This window comes from Homo sapiens, chromosome 6 (assembly GCF_000001405.40).
Source record: "Homo sapiens chromosome 6, GRCh38.p14 Primary Assembly".
Taxonomy (NCBI): Eukaryota; Metazoa; Chordata; class Mammalia; order Primates; family Hominidae; genus Homo; species Homo sapiens.
The window spans coordinates 142,378,048-142,395,112 of NC_000006.12; the positions used below are offsets into that span (position 1 = coordinate 142,378,048).

The following is a 17,065-nucleotide window of genomic DNA, read 5'->3' on the forward strand; positions in this document are numbered from 1 at the left end:
TGAGAAGTAATTGTTGCAGTTTCCCATAAAAGAATGCTACATATTGAAATTTATACTTGTTACTGTGCAATGAAACTGATGAAATGTTCAAGAAAATTGTTAAATATCTTGCTCTAAATCATAGCTCTTCTGATTTTCTTTTCTTATTTTTACCTCTAAGCTCTTTAACATACTGGGAATGTAGTTTGCCTAAAAACTGCTTTCCCACAACACTGAGCCCTTATCTCCCTTTGTCTTCCAGAGATATTGTATCAGTGCCAGAAGTGGCCTAAGAAGCCCTTGACTGCCAACATTGTGTGTAATATGAGAACCACAGGAACTCCCTCCAGGGTCTCCTCTATTGCATGCTACAGAGGCTGAGATTTCATTAGTCTCTGAACTTTAAAGGCTTTTTAGTTTGCGGAAGTCCCTTACAAAATATAAGTACCTACAAAAGGGAGGTCCTACAAAAAATGGGCATACAGTAAATGTGATGCAAGGGAATAATGGGCAAAAAGCATTCAAGACAAAATTCCACCTCAGTCCTGCCTTAACTTCTGCCTCTTCAAATGTTCTTTTTTCATTGTGCATTTGCTTAAGTTTTCAATCTTTAAAACTCCCCCTTCCTCTCTCTGCTTCCTTTCACAGCCAAGCTTCCTCTTCTTGCATTCACTCGTCAGACCTTGGCAGTCTAGATTTCATCATTCCCACACAACTCAAACTATTTTCTATAGAGTTACTACCAAAATCCCAATGCAAAGTTAAAGGTCTTCTCATTCTTTATAATTCTTGGCCTTTCTGGTATTCTTGATATTGTCACACCCTGCATTAAACTTTCTTCTCTTAAATTATGTAAAACCACCTCTGTAAAAGCTGTTTTTACCTTTTTAAGTCTATAGCTCTTTTTCTTATATCTGATGCTTAAATATAGAAATATCTGTGGTTCCATCCTGTTTCCTTCTCAAATCTACAATCTATCTCCAGTGATCCCAAACACTCTATAGCTTCTGATGAGTATTTCCTGGCTACACCTCTTACAAAAACACTTTTGCGTCTAGGTGTCACACAGGCACCTCAGTTTCCGTTACTGGACTTAGTGTTTACCCTACCCCACCTAAGTCTGCTCTTCTTCTGTTATTTCCTATCTCCTTTTATTAGATCGATATGTACCAGTTTTTGAAGTTGGAAATTAGCAAAACGTCCTCTATTCTTCCTTTTTTCCTCTGTCTTTAATTAGTTGCTAAATGTTATGCATTCTATCTTTAAATTTCTTGTATCTGTATCTATCTCTTTCTGTCAATCCTTATTACTTATGATATCAAGGCTGAATTATTAGTAGTAGTCCTGCTTCTGTTTCCCTTCTTTTGGTTGTAGAACCTAAATGATTGTTTTCAAATGAAATATAGTTTACTTGCCTACCTCCTCATTTTCCCTCACTGCCTTTAAGAAAGAGTTCACAGGCCGGGCACGGTGGCTCACGCCTGTAATCCCAGCGCTTTGGGAGGCCGAGGCGGGCGGATCACGAGGTCAGGAGATTGAGACCATCCTGGCTAACATGGTGAAACCCTGTCTCTACTAAAAATACAAAAAATTAGCCTGGCGTGGTGACGGGCGCCTGTAGTCCCAGCTACTCGGGAGGCTGAGGCAGGAGAATGGCGGGAACCCGGGAGGCAGAGTTTGCAGTGAGCCAAGATCATGCCACTGCACCCCAGCCTGGGCAACAGAGCGAGACTCCATCTCAAAAAAAGAAAAAGAGTTCACAATGTTAGTTCACCTGGTGAACCCAAAATATCTGAGACAGGTTTCAATTAGTTTAGAAAGTTTATTTTTCCGAAGTTAAGGACACACCCGTGACACAGCCTCAGGGGGTCCTGATGACATGTGCCCAAGATGGTCAGGGTACAGCTTGCTTTTATATGTTTTAGGGACACAATACATCAACCAATACATGTAAGATTTACATTGGTTCAATCTGGAGAAGGGTGGGACAACTCAAAGTAGTGGGGAGAGGGCTTCCAGGTCATAGGTAGATTTAAAATTTTTCTGATTGACAATTGATTGAAAGAGTTATTATCAGTAGAAAGGAATGTCTGGGTTAAATAAAGGGTTGTGGATACCAAGATTTTTTCATGCAGATGAAGCCTCCAGGTAACAGGCTTCACAGAGGATAGATTGTAAATGTTTCTTATCAGACTTAGGGTCTATGTTGATGTTAATGCTGGAGGGGTGTAATGAGGCATGTCCAACCCTCTCTTCCATCATGGCCTCAACTCGATTTTCAGGTTAACTCTGGAGGGACCTCGGCCAAGAGGAGGAGTCCATTCAGATGGTTGTGGGGGGCCCTAGAAGTTCATTTTTGGTTTACAATCTTGAGTGCCCACCACTCAAGGTTCTAGTGTGTGGGATTAACCACTGGAAGAAAGACAGAGGGTTCTAGTGCTCATGGTGTTGCTATTTTCCAAAGCCTTACAGCAGCTATCCATTGTTTGTGTATCTGATCATCCTTATCAGTTTTTACTTTACTTTAGCAAAGCCCAGTGACTTGAGTGCACAGACCGTCTCAGTGCCTCCTTGGTACTTGTTTTAGAAATTCTGTCTGCCAGTAAAATACCCATCTCTACTTTCTTACCCCTGGCTCTCTCACAGCCTCCTGTGCCTCATGGGCCTTCTTCTTTGAAATGGATTTTCTGTTCGCTTTTCTTACCAAGCTGCTGTCACATCCTCCTTTGGGCCACTGCCACCTTCGGAGCACTTCCCTAATAGCACTTAGAACTGTGACGCCATCTCCCTTTCATGCCTCCCTGAGAGCAGCGACTTAGCTTAAAGCATCATTCTGGCCTCTGTACCTCACATAATGTAGGCAATAGGTAAATGTTTGTTGAGTGAATGTGTAAAGGTCTGTGACAAGAGCTTCTTGCCAGTCAGTGTCATGTCATAGCCTGCCTGTAATATCAGGCCTTTCTGAAGTATCATGATTCTTTCCTTGGGTCAAGTGCCCTGAGGTATCAAGGATGAAGAAACCATGCCTCTGGAGATACTGTTAAACTGTTAGGTTATTTTCTGCTTATGCATACCGTTTACCTAGTTATGTATCTTTTGTTAGCTCATGTGCGAGCTGTGCCTACACATTCCCACAGGAAAGTTTTGAAATATTTATTAGAATAAAACCACTATTATATAAATGTCCCTTAAAATATCGTGCATATTATATATGTGTGTATATATATGTGTATACACACATATACATATATATTTGTATTTGTGTGTGTTTATGATACAATATGCTTTGTTATAAGCTTAGCCAATTTTTCTCAGACTCAAGCTGTTGGAAAAAGTCTGTTAATTGTCAGAGGGAGATTTAGTGCAACAATGAAAATCTACTTCTACTAAAAAATTAGCTCAAAACTTGTTTCCTGCTGAGGATGAGTTAGTAAAAGCTTGAAATAAAAAGACACAGAGACTGAATTGAAGTCACAGAAACATATTTCTGGAATTACAAATAGCATATGCTAGGATGTATGAACCAAAACTGCGTTTTATGGGTAATTCATATTAACTTCACTTTTGAAACTTATTCTTGATGTTTGTATTATTTTATTTGTATGAATTCCCACCCAAACTCTTAAAATTTATTATACAAAAAGCCCTGAACTTTTTGCACAAACTTTAAGGGGCAGTGGCACTGCTTTTCTTTTCATGTGTGATGACTCACAAGTTGAGTTAAAGATTTTGAGGACAATATCAATACTTTGGTTTTACATTTGAGAAAATTAAGGCACAGTGGCCTTAAGAGACTTTCTTGATATCAAAGAATTACTGGTGGACTCTTCTAGGGCTGCTTCTATTACATCAACCGTATGATTTTTCTGGATAATATCACTAAATCATAAATCAAACTTACATATTCTTTTTGTGTTGATCAAGGTTCCTACCTGATCCCGCTCCCAGCAGCAGAACTGGCCAGCTGTGCAGACCTGGGGACCCTCTGTCAAGGTAGGGAGCCCACACCGTGCTCTGGAATCTCTTTGCTTTCTACTTGCAATTTTGGGTAATGTGGTTGTCATTGTTTTGATTTGTATCTGAATTTTCACTTGGAAAGCCAGAAAACAGCAAAACAGAAGAATTTCTGCATGTGTTTTAGTTGTGTGGGTGCACAGTACGTACGGCATGGAGAAAGAATGCATTCACACCATGGGTAACCACAATTCCACAAAGCTCTGAGTTTTAAAAATGTGAATTTATATCCTATTAAATATGGATTGGTTTCATTTTTCCCCCATGTCTTCTCAAGAATATATTGGACTTGCAAAAAGTCCAGTATAAATACAGTGGTACAATACTTTGAAGAAGTATTCATGTCTATAAAATAAAGAGGGAAATTAATTTGACTATTCAGTTAACTTTAAGATAAGGCCATGAGGCAATTTATGATGACAAGATAACTTAAATTTTAAGATTAAAATGGTTATAGTGAACTAATGTTAATGTAACTGTGTTAATTATTACGATGCTTACTATATCGTGGTCAGTATTTCAGTTACATGTTATGTACTAAATAGCTGCATGCTAAATAATACATAATTAAAGTTATACAAGTTTTAAAATAATAATATAAATATTTTGCTTTATTTTATCATTGCTCTTCCTAATTATCCATGACCCTTTTCATCTATTTATTCTATTAAATACTTCTATAGTGAAGTAGCATGTTCTGTGTACCACATTAAGAATCACAGCCATGCCTTTTGTAAAAGCTGGATCTCTTATTAAGAAGATCATAGCACAAAAGTGACAGGGCTTAGAAGTGAGATTGAAGAAATAAAAACCTAAGCTCTCTTCTGTGGTTCCAGTGTGAGAGTAGGGCAGGCAGGAGGTGGGGTGGGGTAACTCATTATTATCTTTTTTTCCTTTTGGAGACATTATTTCTTTGATATTATTATTAATCAATACCCTATGAAAATTAAGTCATCAAGTAGTTTTTTTTTCCATGATCTCCATGTGGTTTTCAAATTGTTATATGAAATAAAAAAATCTGTAATTCTGTTTAGTTCAAGATCTGAAGTTTAAAAAAAGTTATTTTTATTTTTAAAATTCTTCTCACCTGGGATATCTGACATAATACTTTGAAAATGTCTCCCTTATAAAGCTTGCCCTGTGAAATACTTTTTATCCATCAATGTTTAGTAAACTTTTTGGAATCTTTAAATGATTAACTTAGTCTATGCATTTCATTTGTCTTTTTCTTTACATTCATCTTAAGAAGAAGTACATTTTTCTTCTGAGATTTTATTTCTCTAGTCTCAGTGTATTAGGCAAACTTAGTTTAGATAACTTTCAAGCTGCAGATCTGTACAGGCTGCTTTCTATAACTTTTTCTTTTGACAGACTCAGGAAACCAAGTTCTAGAAGGGTTTAGTGTTTTACTGTGTGATTGCCAGCTTGTTAATGGAGATCTAGGTCTAGAATCTAGAATCAAAATGTCCTTTCTCTCATCACTATGTGCTTGCTCCAGACCCTTGTGTATTATAGCATCAAAGGCCATGTGTACTGATTCTTAATGTGCCATAGAAAGCATTGCTTCATCTTATACATTACAACCTTGGAGTCTTTTGTATTTCAAAGTGGTTTCCATTCTTCCCCTATATATTTTAATGCATTAATTATAGATTGCTTATCCAAATTAACTGTCATGTGCTCTTTGCAAAATTACATCTTTCTCATCTTTATTACCAGCTACTGTAAACTCTCCTAGTACTACACCACCCACTGTCACCACTAACATGCCTGTTACTAACAGAATCGATAAACAAAGGAATGGTAAGAAATCATTACCTTTTATATTTTTAGTATGTCTAACATAAAAAATTGTATTCTAAGGATGGAAATATGTATTATTCCAACAAAGTGTCTGTTACTGGAGTCAATTGGTACATTTGTAGGTTTACAAGATTAGTAAAATTAATAAAGATCACTTAACTCTGTTGAGTTCCTCATTCTTATGACGAGTGGAATGAGTACATCTCCAGTACTCCTCTTTTGCGCTTTTAGCCAAAATTTTTTTCAAAGGAAGTTTTAGGGGAAAGGCATTTAATTAGAAGGCATTAATGTGCATCATAATAGAGATCAGAGAAAAACGTATTTCCATGGTATTTTGTCAGATTATTTGCTGCAGGAAACAAGTTTTAAAGGATTTTATAAATTTCAAAAAATTAAGTAATTTTAATAATTTAATTTCTCACTTAAGTGAACTTTATGGTCATATATTTGTGACATTTACATCAATGTCCATAGTAATACTTTGCTTTCTGTTTTTATTTGCCGAAGAATAATAGAATATGATTATATATCAACTAAAACAAATCAAATTTTGAATGACAACTTCAAATACTTCTTGCTTTTTTCTCCAAATATACTTTTCTATTATTTATAATTTGCAAATACAGCAGTGTACGGTAAGAAATAAACAGAGGAAAAGTCAGGTGAGTGGAATTCTTTAACCTGTTCCTAGATGAACGACATACATGGCCTTTCAGTAATTCACAGTGAGCAATTTCAGTTTCTTCTAATAAAAGAGAAATTCCAATCAGGTGACCACACCATTGCTTTGAATACAGTAATATTCTCAAATATGAAGCATTAGAAACAAAGGAATTTTCTAAACTCCAGTCATTTAGCTTATGAGGCCAAGACATCTGTAATATATCACCAGGGACCCAAAACCCTGAGAAAAGAAACCCACATAGTTCATTTTTTCTTGGCTTCAGAGGTTACATCAATTTCCTCTGTAGGACATTTAAATTGGAACTATGGAATATTTTACATGAAACATAGATATAAATTTCAGTAGGGTTATAAAGACATCGATTCAGATAGTGTTTATGGTTATTCTGATAGTTACACCAAGGAGATTTATGATGGAGCAAAAATTCCAGCAACCCCCAAGAAAGCAACAGCAGCTGAAATTTCCAGTGCATATTTCACATGGACTCTAGCCAGTAGATGGGAATATTATAATTCTAACTAAGTATTTCACTCTTTGTATGAACATACAAAGAGCCTCTGTGGTATTCTCCCTCCAGGATTGACACATCCTCTACTGTCCAAGAACATTTATACGGTGCTTCAGAGTCCTTGACTTGGTGGAGTGGAGCTGTATTCACTCAATCATGTCATTTCTGACATTCTTGAAGAAAGCCTTGTTTAGGCCATCTCTCTCTGCGTCATAACCTTCATTGGAGTTTTAACAAAGCAAGCAAATGTTAGAATCAGTTAAAATGGTCTGTCTTGACCACATTAATGAAAAAAATCTAATTCAGATAATTCTTAATCAAAATGTCATCAGCGTTTAAAAATATTCAGGTCATTATATGACAGAAATATTCTCAAAATTGTGTTCTCAAATTTGTGTACCATCTTAACAATTGTTATTTTTACCATGTCTCTGAACCACCTATACTATTTACTATGTTTTTTTTCCTAAATTGACTCACTTTTTAATGTAAACATTTGTGTTTACTTGGGAAAATCTATTTCACAATTGTAAAGTGAAACCAGTCCTACTTGTTATAACACAGTTGTAAAAAGTGAATATAAATATAATGTAAACAATGTTTTAAAATTCTCCCTGTATCCTATTGCCTTCTCACATCTTAGCGCCTGAAGCCTTTATTATCTTTTTAAAAAGGAAGACTAACAAAGTATTAGAGACAGACTATATTAAGTTTTTTTTCTTTGATGTAATCAAATTTGAAATAATTGAAAAGAGAATTACTTTTTCACCTTATGAATACATGCTATTTAATGTCATGTCCTGGATTATCATCATTGATATAACATTAATAATTTCTTATTCTTTGGGAAACAGAGAGTAAAGATTCTCAGGCTTACATTCTGATATATTAGAGAATACTATTTTATTTACTGTAAGAAAGATTGGCACAACTGTCAAATCTATTATCTAATTTGTCCATTCCTTTTAACTCTTGGCTATCAGAATTTTACTGAATTAATCAATAACAATATTGCATTGTGGGGAGAGGAGAGGGGTTGAGTTTGCTTGATAATCAGATATATTTATCATAGTATATCAATAGAATTTGTTTTCCTGGCTTTTGTGAAATGTCCCTGTTTTTCTGTGTGAAGTTATTTTTGTTGTTTGCAATAGGACTTTTATCTGATACCTCAAATTACACTAAGTCCTCATTAATGTCATTGATAGGTTCTTGGAAATTCTGACTTTGAGTAAAATAACATGTAATGAAACCAATCTTACCATAGGCTGATTGATATAAACAAGAGTTAAGTTCCTACGGCATATTTCTGGTCACAGAAACATCACCAAACTTCCAAATAAAGGCCGAAACACTTCTAATATTAAACATTGCAGTTAATATGAGCTGTACATACATTTAAGAAACATTAGTGAAAACAAGTAAGATAATTGATTGCCCAATTTTGGGTGAGCCAGTGAGTGACTGCAGTCTTAGTGGCGGTGGTGGGTTAAATCAAGAAACAAATTTTTGCACAATGAAAATTGTGAGGAGCACCTCCTGCCACCAAGCAGTTCCAAAACAATCACCAATATGGGGGTTTGCCGAGTGCTTTCATACTGTATCACTTATTGTCGTGCATTTATATGATTATCTTATACTTTATGAATTTTTGTTTTACAGTAATTTGTAGCCATTCATTCATTGACTTTCCAACCTGCTTATTCCATCCAGTTCAGGGTAGCGGGTGGCTGGAGCCATCTGGGCAGCTCGGGGCAGCAGGCAGAAACTAGCCCTGGCCAGGACTCCATCCCATGGCAGGGCACACTCACACACACCCACACCCACTCACACTGGGACCATGTAGACAGGCCAGTGAATCCAAGGTACACAGCTTTGGGATGTGGGAAGACACTGGAGGACCTGGAGAAACCCCATGAAGACAAGGGGAGAACATGCAGACCCTACGCAGACAGGGGACCTGGCCAGGCATTGAGTCGTCTCCTCATCAACTTTGTAATGAAGCTCTGTTGAATGAAATGATGTTACTCAAGGACCTGCTGTGTACACTAAGAAAGTCTTTAAAGCTACTTTTCACAAACAGATATTTCAGGATATGGGTAATCTGGGGATTCCCACAAATAATGATCTTTTTTATGTTTTCCATTACATTCCCAAGAAAAGCTCTTGGACTAATTATTATTCCATTCCAAATCATATCTTCTCTGCTCAAACATCACTAGCTACTGAATAGTAAGCTTTTGTGAGGTTGTCACAAGCAACCCAAGTAAGGAATTAACTCCATTAGTCTCTATTATTGTTCTAAAAACCTAGTTTACAAGTAAGTACAGATTGTAACACTGCTTCCAGTTTCTCACATACGTTTAGCTGCTTAAATAACAAATTCCTTCTAAGATCATTTGAATGGATCCATTACTCTAGCTTTTTATGCCATATGTCTTAAAGAAATTGTGTATGTAGGAGCTGCAGGATGCCAGTCATATTGTAAATGCCACTGTCGTAATAGAATTGCCTCATCACTAGTTCAAAGAAATAACCAGGTGTCTAGATTAGCATTTGGTTTATATTTTAACGTCTATTTTTTCAAATAGGCCTATCATTTCAAACCTGTATTTTACGTCCTTGAAATAGCATAGATAGAGCAGTGTCATTTCTGTATTCTCCAAGAAACTCTGAAAAAAGTGTAAGAAGATAAAAAAGGGAAAGATTAATTGGAGAGAGACCTACAAAAAATAATGTTGTTTTGATACATTGGTAATGGCAGACAGTGATTTCTGCTTGAAGTTCTACATGCTGAAAGAAGTATCTAAATGGAAAATGGATATATTCTTAAATCATTTTTCCCCAATTAATGTCTATAATAAATTCTTTGGGCCTAGATGTCATTATTAGGATAGTACATACATATTTTGAAGTCTCTGGAACACATGAAGATTTGTGAATAGCTTTTAAAACACCGTGAGTGTTGTTAACATTTGTAAGAGAGGACAACTTTACTGCTATGGTAACATGGAAAATCCTGCATAAGTGTGTCTTAATTATGCATTTCCTCCAATGGCAATGTTGAAGCCAATTATTTTGCTGTAGTCCAAAACCCTGCTCATCAGCCCTTCAGTGGGCATATTTTTTTATGTTGCTTTGACAGTTCACTCTTGGACTTTTCTCATGGTTACTTGTTGACTGCACTATTCCAAAATTTTAAATAAGTATAACAAGTGGACTGGGGCAGGAAACAATGTTTAAAGAAAACATCTTAAATATTTGGATGCTTTCTTAAAAATTCAGAAATGTCAATGATTTTTAGAATTTTGCAATATTTTCCTTAGAGGGAACAAATACTACTGTTATAACAAAAGCATGCTTTAGGTTTCCATCTAGTGGTGGCTTTTCAGATACTCTGCTAGCATTGATAATACAGATGCTCCTCCACTTACGGTAGGGTTTGCATTCCTATAAACCCACTATTAAGTTGAAAATACTGGAAAATATCAAAAGTCAAAAATACATTTAATACACCCAACTTGCTGAACATCATAGCTTGCTGAACCCACCTTAAACACGTTCAGAACACTTACCTTAGCCTACAGCTGGGCAAAATCATCTAACACAGAGTCTATTTTATAATAAAGTGTTGAATATCTCATGTACTTTATTGAATGCTGAACTTAAAGTGAAAAGTGAAATGGTCATATGGGTACTAGAAGTACAGTTTCCACCGAATGCCTGTTGTTTTCCCACCATCGTAAAGTTGAATGATCTTGAACTGTAAGTAGGGAAGCTTCTGTATAGTCACAGAATATTATCAGGATCCTGAAATAACTCTTTGACCCTTGCAATTCTGAATTTCCTCCCAATCATTCAGAACATCTGTGATTTTATTTGATGAGATCCACAGTGTAAAAGTTATCTTTATATGAATTATTTGTTTTATATGTTCCTCCAAATATTTTTCATTCAGAACATTTTTTAAAGGAATATAAAAGTCAAGATCATTAAAATACCCGAAGAATTTTAGAAGTTGAAATAGTCTGCATAAATTAAACTCACCTGTGCTTGGACTTGTGCCAGTTTTATATATTTATATTACTACATCCAGGGGCAGCAATTTATATTGTTTAGCACAAGACTCTGATTCTTACTGGAAAGACATTCCTTTGGTAGTGGGACTGGAATTTGCATTTTGGTGGATTTGGAAATTCCCAGAGGCAAACTTTTACATTTTTTTTTCTACTGCCTCCCCACAATTTTTACTGTTTTCTTCAACATTGCTATAATTATGTATTTCTATATTTTGTGTGCCTATTTTACTTAAGACTTACCTAAACATAAGCATGAAGAAAGATGATCAACAAAGGAGACTCAAAAAATTTTCTTCTCTCTGTATCTTACCATAATTTAAAAGGGTATTTTTCTTACTAGCTACTTTGACTAAAGCACCCATTTACAGCTATTTAGCAAACCCTTGCTGGTGAGTTTGATTTTTCATTTTAAAAAATCAGTTTACTTTAAAGATTCCCCCCACCCAAAGAGCAGAATCTTCTTTACAATAAGGTTTTCTTTTTATTTTCTTTTTCAAGTGATTTAGTCCAATGAAAATTCTACCTGCAAATATTGTTTCTTTTTTTCCCTCTATTTTGGTATAAATGAGCATATTTAAGAAATTTTGATGAAAAGTCTGGTGAAATGCAGCCTAGTAGTTTAATAGAAGTATTTTATTAAGCAGGGGAAAGAGAGGAAAAGGAGAGGAATTAGGGTAGTAAGTATGTGTATGCCTGTTCTGCTTTTTCAAGTTAATTCCTCCATATGATCTCATTCAAGTTTTCACATCCCAAACTCTTTATCATTCTTTATAATGCACAGAAAGCATAATGCCTGTTATAAGAAGTCAAATTGTACATGAAAACAGTTAACACATTACAGACAGTAGATATAAGAAATCTATAGAATTAAAAATATGAAGAAACATATGCAAGTAATAAGAGTAAGCTAATTGATAACTATTTCTAAGAAGTTGGAAGGTCAATAAGCTTAACATCAAAATATTTCAGAACTTTTTTTGCCTATGTAGAAGGTGTTTCTTTTAACTTATATTGTAAATTATGTGATTATGAATAAAACTATATGATTATGTAAGACTTACATGATCATAACTTTAAATTGTTTGATAATTATATAACTATAAACATATAATTAATGGACTAATCCTATTTCCAATGGGCAGATGGAATTATCTATAGAATATCCGTAGTGATTCAGAACATCCTTCGTCACCCTGAGGTAAAAGTACAGAGCAAGGTGGCAGAATGGGTAAGTGAGCTTGTAACTTTTCTTTTTTAAAAAAATTCTTTAACTTCTGGGAATCTGGAAAAGACTAGTTAACTGAATCCACAGATCATACTGAAACACAGATGGTATTCATTAGAAATATATGAGTAGATATGTAAGTGAGGTGTTGTCCTTATGCATAGGAAGAGAAGTACATTTGAATAAAGGATAAGAACTGAGCCTAATAGACTATCAATGTCTTAAATAAGAAAAGTATCGCACAAATGGAAATAGATTTTGGTGGCAACAGGTATCTGTATTTCATATTAGATCCATGTATTTTCTGCTATATTTTTAAATAGATTATTTTAAAAATTGTTTGAATGTTTGATCAAAACCAGCAAGTATGAAAAGACGCATTATGAAAGTCTTCCACCCATCCTTGCTGCTCATCTGCATGGAACCAACCCAATAACCAACAGCAAATAGGAAATCACTATTAGTTTTCTCCGCTTTTTTCCAGATTTCTTTGTGCACATGAAAGAAAATTAAACTATAGATTCTTATTTTCCTTCTTTTTTACACGAAAAGTAGTATACTTTACATACCGTTCTATACCGTACTTATTTTTATTGTTGCCAGATTTGCAACATTAGAGAACTACATGTTTTTTTTGTTTTGAAAAAACAATGCATAATATTTCATTATGTGGCTGTTCAGTCATTTATTTAGCAGATCTTCTGTTGATGGACAGTTAGGCTGTAATTTATTTAACCAGTATCCTATTGGTAAACATTTTGTAGTTTTCAATTTAAAAAATTTAACATTTTATTTTCTTCTTTTTCTTACAAATACAACACATGGATTTTTTCATTTTCTTCTTCACAATAACAATCTCAATTTTATTTTCCATAGGTTTCTATTTTTTCTATTATTTCATTTCCTACCTACAGCATACTGTGAGACTTTGTACTTCTTTTTATATATAATGCTGTTACAGTTCAAACAATTTTTTTAATTGAGTCACTATACATTCTGAAATAAGAAAAATGGGTTTTCATATATATTTGGTGTTTGATAAACGTGTCTTTGGTAGCAAAAGAAAGTTTACGCATTGAGAGGAAGTGGTAGCTACACACACACACACACACACACACACACACACACACACACACACAGAGACATCTATATATATTTGAAAAATAACTGATAGAAAACAGTCTTCATTTTAAAGGCAGTACTCTTTAAAAAAAAGTTGACCATAGGTAACAATAGTAGGTAATTAACTCTGTTACAAAGTTGGTGAGAAAGGTGAAATCCTCTACTGAAATAAAAGAAAAATACTACGTTTGATTTTTGGGAATGCCACATTGAGATTAGTAACTCATTCAAATACTAGGAGATGTTTAACCTCTCAATGGAGAGAGCAGGCTGCAGAAAGAGTATATTCTTTCTGTGTATCCCATTTTCTTTCCAGAGTTGTTCTTTTTGTTTAAAGTTAGAGTGATTTCAGAAGATAAAATTCTTTATTTTCATTCTCAAATAAGCTACTGTTAGCTTATTTGTGCAAATAATGGGTAATGTTATTAATCTAAATTTAGCATTCACTAGAAAGTTTGTGCTAGATAAGGTATAAGCTTACATTTATATTTACTTCATGCATGGTTTTCAACATAGCTTTATTCTCATCTGCAGCTAAACTTTACTAGACATTTTTGTTTAAAATGCAAGATACCAAAGCAGATACTTGATAACAGAGAAAATATAAATAGTGTACCTGTTTCAAATTATTACTATTTACAATTTTAAAATAATTTAACATTTTTTTTGCCAGGATTCCCTAAAACTTACATTCAGTTTTAGAAATGCTTAAAAGAGAGGCTAAATGTGTGTATGAAACAAGGCCTAAATCACTATTCGGAGATGATATGTAAATAGGAGTCTCTCATGTCAGTGAGGGAATCTCGTTTTGCAGTTGTATGGGAAACTGCATCATAGAAGCTTCTTTATATTGGAGGAATCCATTGCTTCATTAAAAACTCTTATGCTGAGACCATAAAGACTGCTAAATAACCACATAATAAATACATAGTTCCAATAGTATTGAACTTATTTTATTTTTTTAATTTATATTGTTAATTTATAATTTTTCTTATTACTAATATTGTGAGATGGTAATTACTAGAAAAATGTTTAGTGTATCTTAGTGTTGTTAAATGAAGAATAGAGAAGATATTTATTGCAAATCTTCTTTAATATGAGGGCTAGAGAGGAAATGATAGTTTTCCAAACAGACAGACTTGGGTTCCAATCTGGCATCTGCTACTGCTTACTTGGGTGATCTTGGGCAAACCATTTCTTATCTGTGAAAGCTCAGTTTCTTTATATATAAGACTATGGGGTGTGTGGGGATAATACCTATTTCATTGGTTGTTGTGAGGATTGAAAGGAATAACATTTATCAAATTCTTGGTATACAGTGATCCATTAACTGTTACAATGATCCATTAACTGTTCACTCCTCCAACTCTTCAGGATTTTCCCAGGGTCTTATCTCAGTAACAACTTATGTTTTAGGTAGAAACTTGAATTAGATATTTTTTAAAGGTATTAGCAAAACTCAGCCTTTTCCATTGTGTTTTCCAGCTCAATTCAACCTTCCAAAATTGGAACTACACGGTTTATGTCGTTAATATCAGGTAAGACAGAATAAATTATTTGATAAATTAAAAGTAGTGTCTAATTTAATGCTACTATTTGTCTCTCTGATTGTACCAAAATATACATACAAATACACACACATAGCTACTATATACATAATCTTTCTAAAACAACTGTGTATTAGTTCATTGCACAAAAAACCTCCATGCTGCAGCGATGGTTTTAAACTGTTTTGATCATGCATTACAGTTAATTTGTATTTGTTTTAAATCATGTTATAATGTGTCAAAAATTAAAATCGGATAATTAAATATAAATAGAAGTTGTTAGTTTCTTCTCACACCCTGGTGGATCACCTAGAGCACCCCCTGGTTGTGTGTACCCATTTCAAGACCACTTTTTTTTCCAGATCTAATTTCGTACATCGACAGTCTGTCTGATTGCAACCTAACTTTTCGAAATTATCCTTCACTGTATTTATATTTAAATCCTCCACTATCTTCAGCAATTTGTATTGTCCATATATCCTCCTGTGTACCTTGTTTTCATAGTTCTATACCTGAACTAGTTTTCTAAAGTGTATGTCATGACCCCTAAACATATATTCTGTGAAGATAAGAGATTTAATAACACAGAACAGGTGTCAAATTGTCATATAAGTTCAGGAAGTACGTTATTGTACAAACTGAAGCAGATTTTTTTATCAGAACGTCTCAGTTTCTTTAGTGTAATAATATGAATTGTGAATCTTCAAAACAGAGCAAAAGCACACAGTTGCCTAGCTTTCTGAAAGAAGCTAGAACCTCAGGACACACATTTGAAAATATTGGCTTAGAATTCCCATTCTGTCTCTTTATTTCAGGTCCCCAAATTTTATTGTTGATGATGTAGTTGGTGAGGTGGATTAATGAATATATGTATTTGTGTTTTTAGTTTTCACCTGAGTGCTGGAGAGGACAAGATTAAAGTCAAGAGAAGCCTTGAGGATGAGCCAAGGTAACAGGACAAAGTATTGTAAAGAGTATAACATTCTTTCTCTTGCTCACTACTTTATCTGGTAGAGAAATGAAAACAATTAGATAGGAAAGAAAAACTTAATCACATAGCACAGTTATTTCTTTAGCACTGCTGTACACTACTTTTTTCTTGTAGTTAAAACTGTAATGTAACAGACTGGGTAGTAATGTATATCCAATGAAAAATAATTGAGAAATAGGGCATTTAAAATGGATGGATTATTATTTTTAGTATTTCCAGTTTATTTATCATAACCCATTGCCTCTTACTTGAAATTGCAAAGGTACCTTCAAAGAAAATAGCTTTAAATAAAGTGTTTATATATGATAACATCTAATAATATGGATAATAGATGCCTAAATGTTTTCAGCATTTAAAGCTATTAGTTAATTTTCTGAAGTCTCCCTTTTAATATTTATATCAGGATCATGCCTTAATCATGCAGGTAATTTAATGGATATGTCCAGCATATATGACCAGTTGGCATGTAAGGACCAAATGTTCAGAGTACTGTAAAACAAACAAAAAAACCCTAAATTTCCAAATGGAATAAATTTAGTTGTATTTAGGTTATTCAGGTCATGTATTGCATCTCTGTAGATTTTTTTTTTTTTTTTTTTGAGACAGAGTCTCACTTTGTCACCCGGGCTGGAGTGCAGTGGTGTGACCATCACTCACTGCAGCCTTGAACTCCTAGGCTCAAATGATCCTCCTGCCTTAGCCTCCTGAGTAGCTGGGGCTACACACATGTGCTAGCATACCTGGCTAATTTTTAAAATACTATTTTTGTAGAGACTGGGTCTTGCTATGTTGCTCAGGCTCATCTCAAACTCCTGGCCTCAAGTAAACCTCCTGTCTCAGCCCCCCCCAGAGTGCTGGGATTACATGTACAGGCGTGAGATGTCATATCTGGCCTCCATACAATTTTTTAAAAATTTGTTGTGAAGCAAAAGTTTCTATAAGTCTTGCTGGATCTCAATAGACTGAATTAAATCTTATGGATATACAGCCCTGATGACGGAGCTTGCTTCTTTTCAGGTGATATCTTCTTACTATGAAAAGATAAAATTTCATATGAGAATTGACCAGAGAGCTTTTTTTTTCTTTTCAACACTAGAAAAACAAATGTTTTG

At 34.4% G+C, this 17,065-nt stretch overlaps 1 protein-coding gene across 16 annotated transcripts in view; it reads left to right on the forward strand.

Moving 5' to 3' along the window:
* ADGRG6 (adhesion G protein-coupled receptor G6) overlaps window positions 1-17,065 on the forward strand; it is a 144,255-nt gene that overhangs the window by 76,041 nt on the left and 51,149 nt on the right. For 9 of the 16 annotated variants that reach the window (XM_005267061.4, XM_006715516.3, NM_020455.6 and 6 more), the window contains exons 5-9: window positions 3,904-3,972; window positions 5,713-5,796; window positions 12,211-12,296; window positions 14,901-14,953; window positions 15,849-15,911. In XM_005267061.4, coding sequence (XP_005267118.1) covers window positions 3,904-3,972; window positions 5,713-5,796; window positions 12,211-12,296; window positions 14,901-14,953; window positions 15,849-15,911 — 355 coding nt within the window. The remainder of the gene's footprint in view (window positions 1-3,903; window positions 3,973-5,712; window positions 5,797-12,210; window positions 12,297-14,900; window positions 14,954-15,848; window positions 15,912-17,065) is intronic. The other 7 variants (XM_047419106.1, XM_006715518.3, NM_001032394.3 and 4 more) reach the window with 1 other exon arrangement.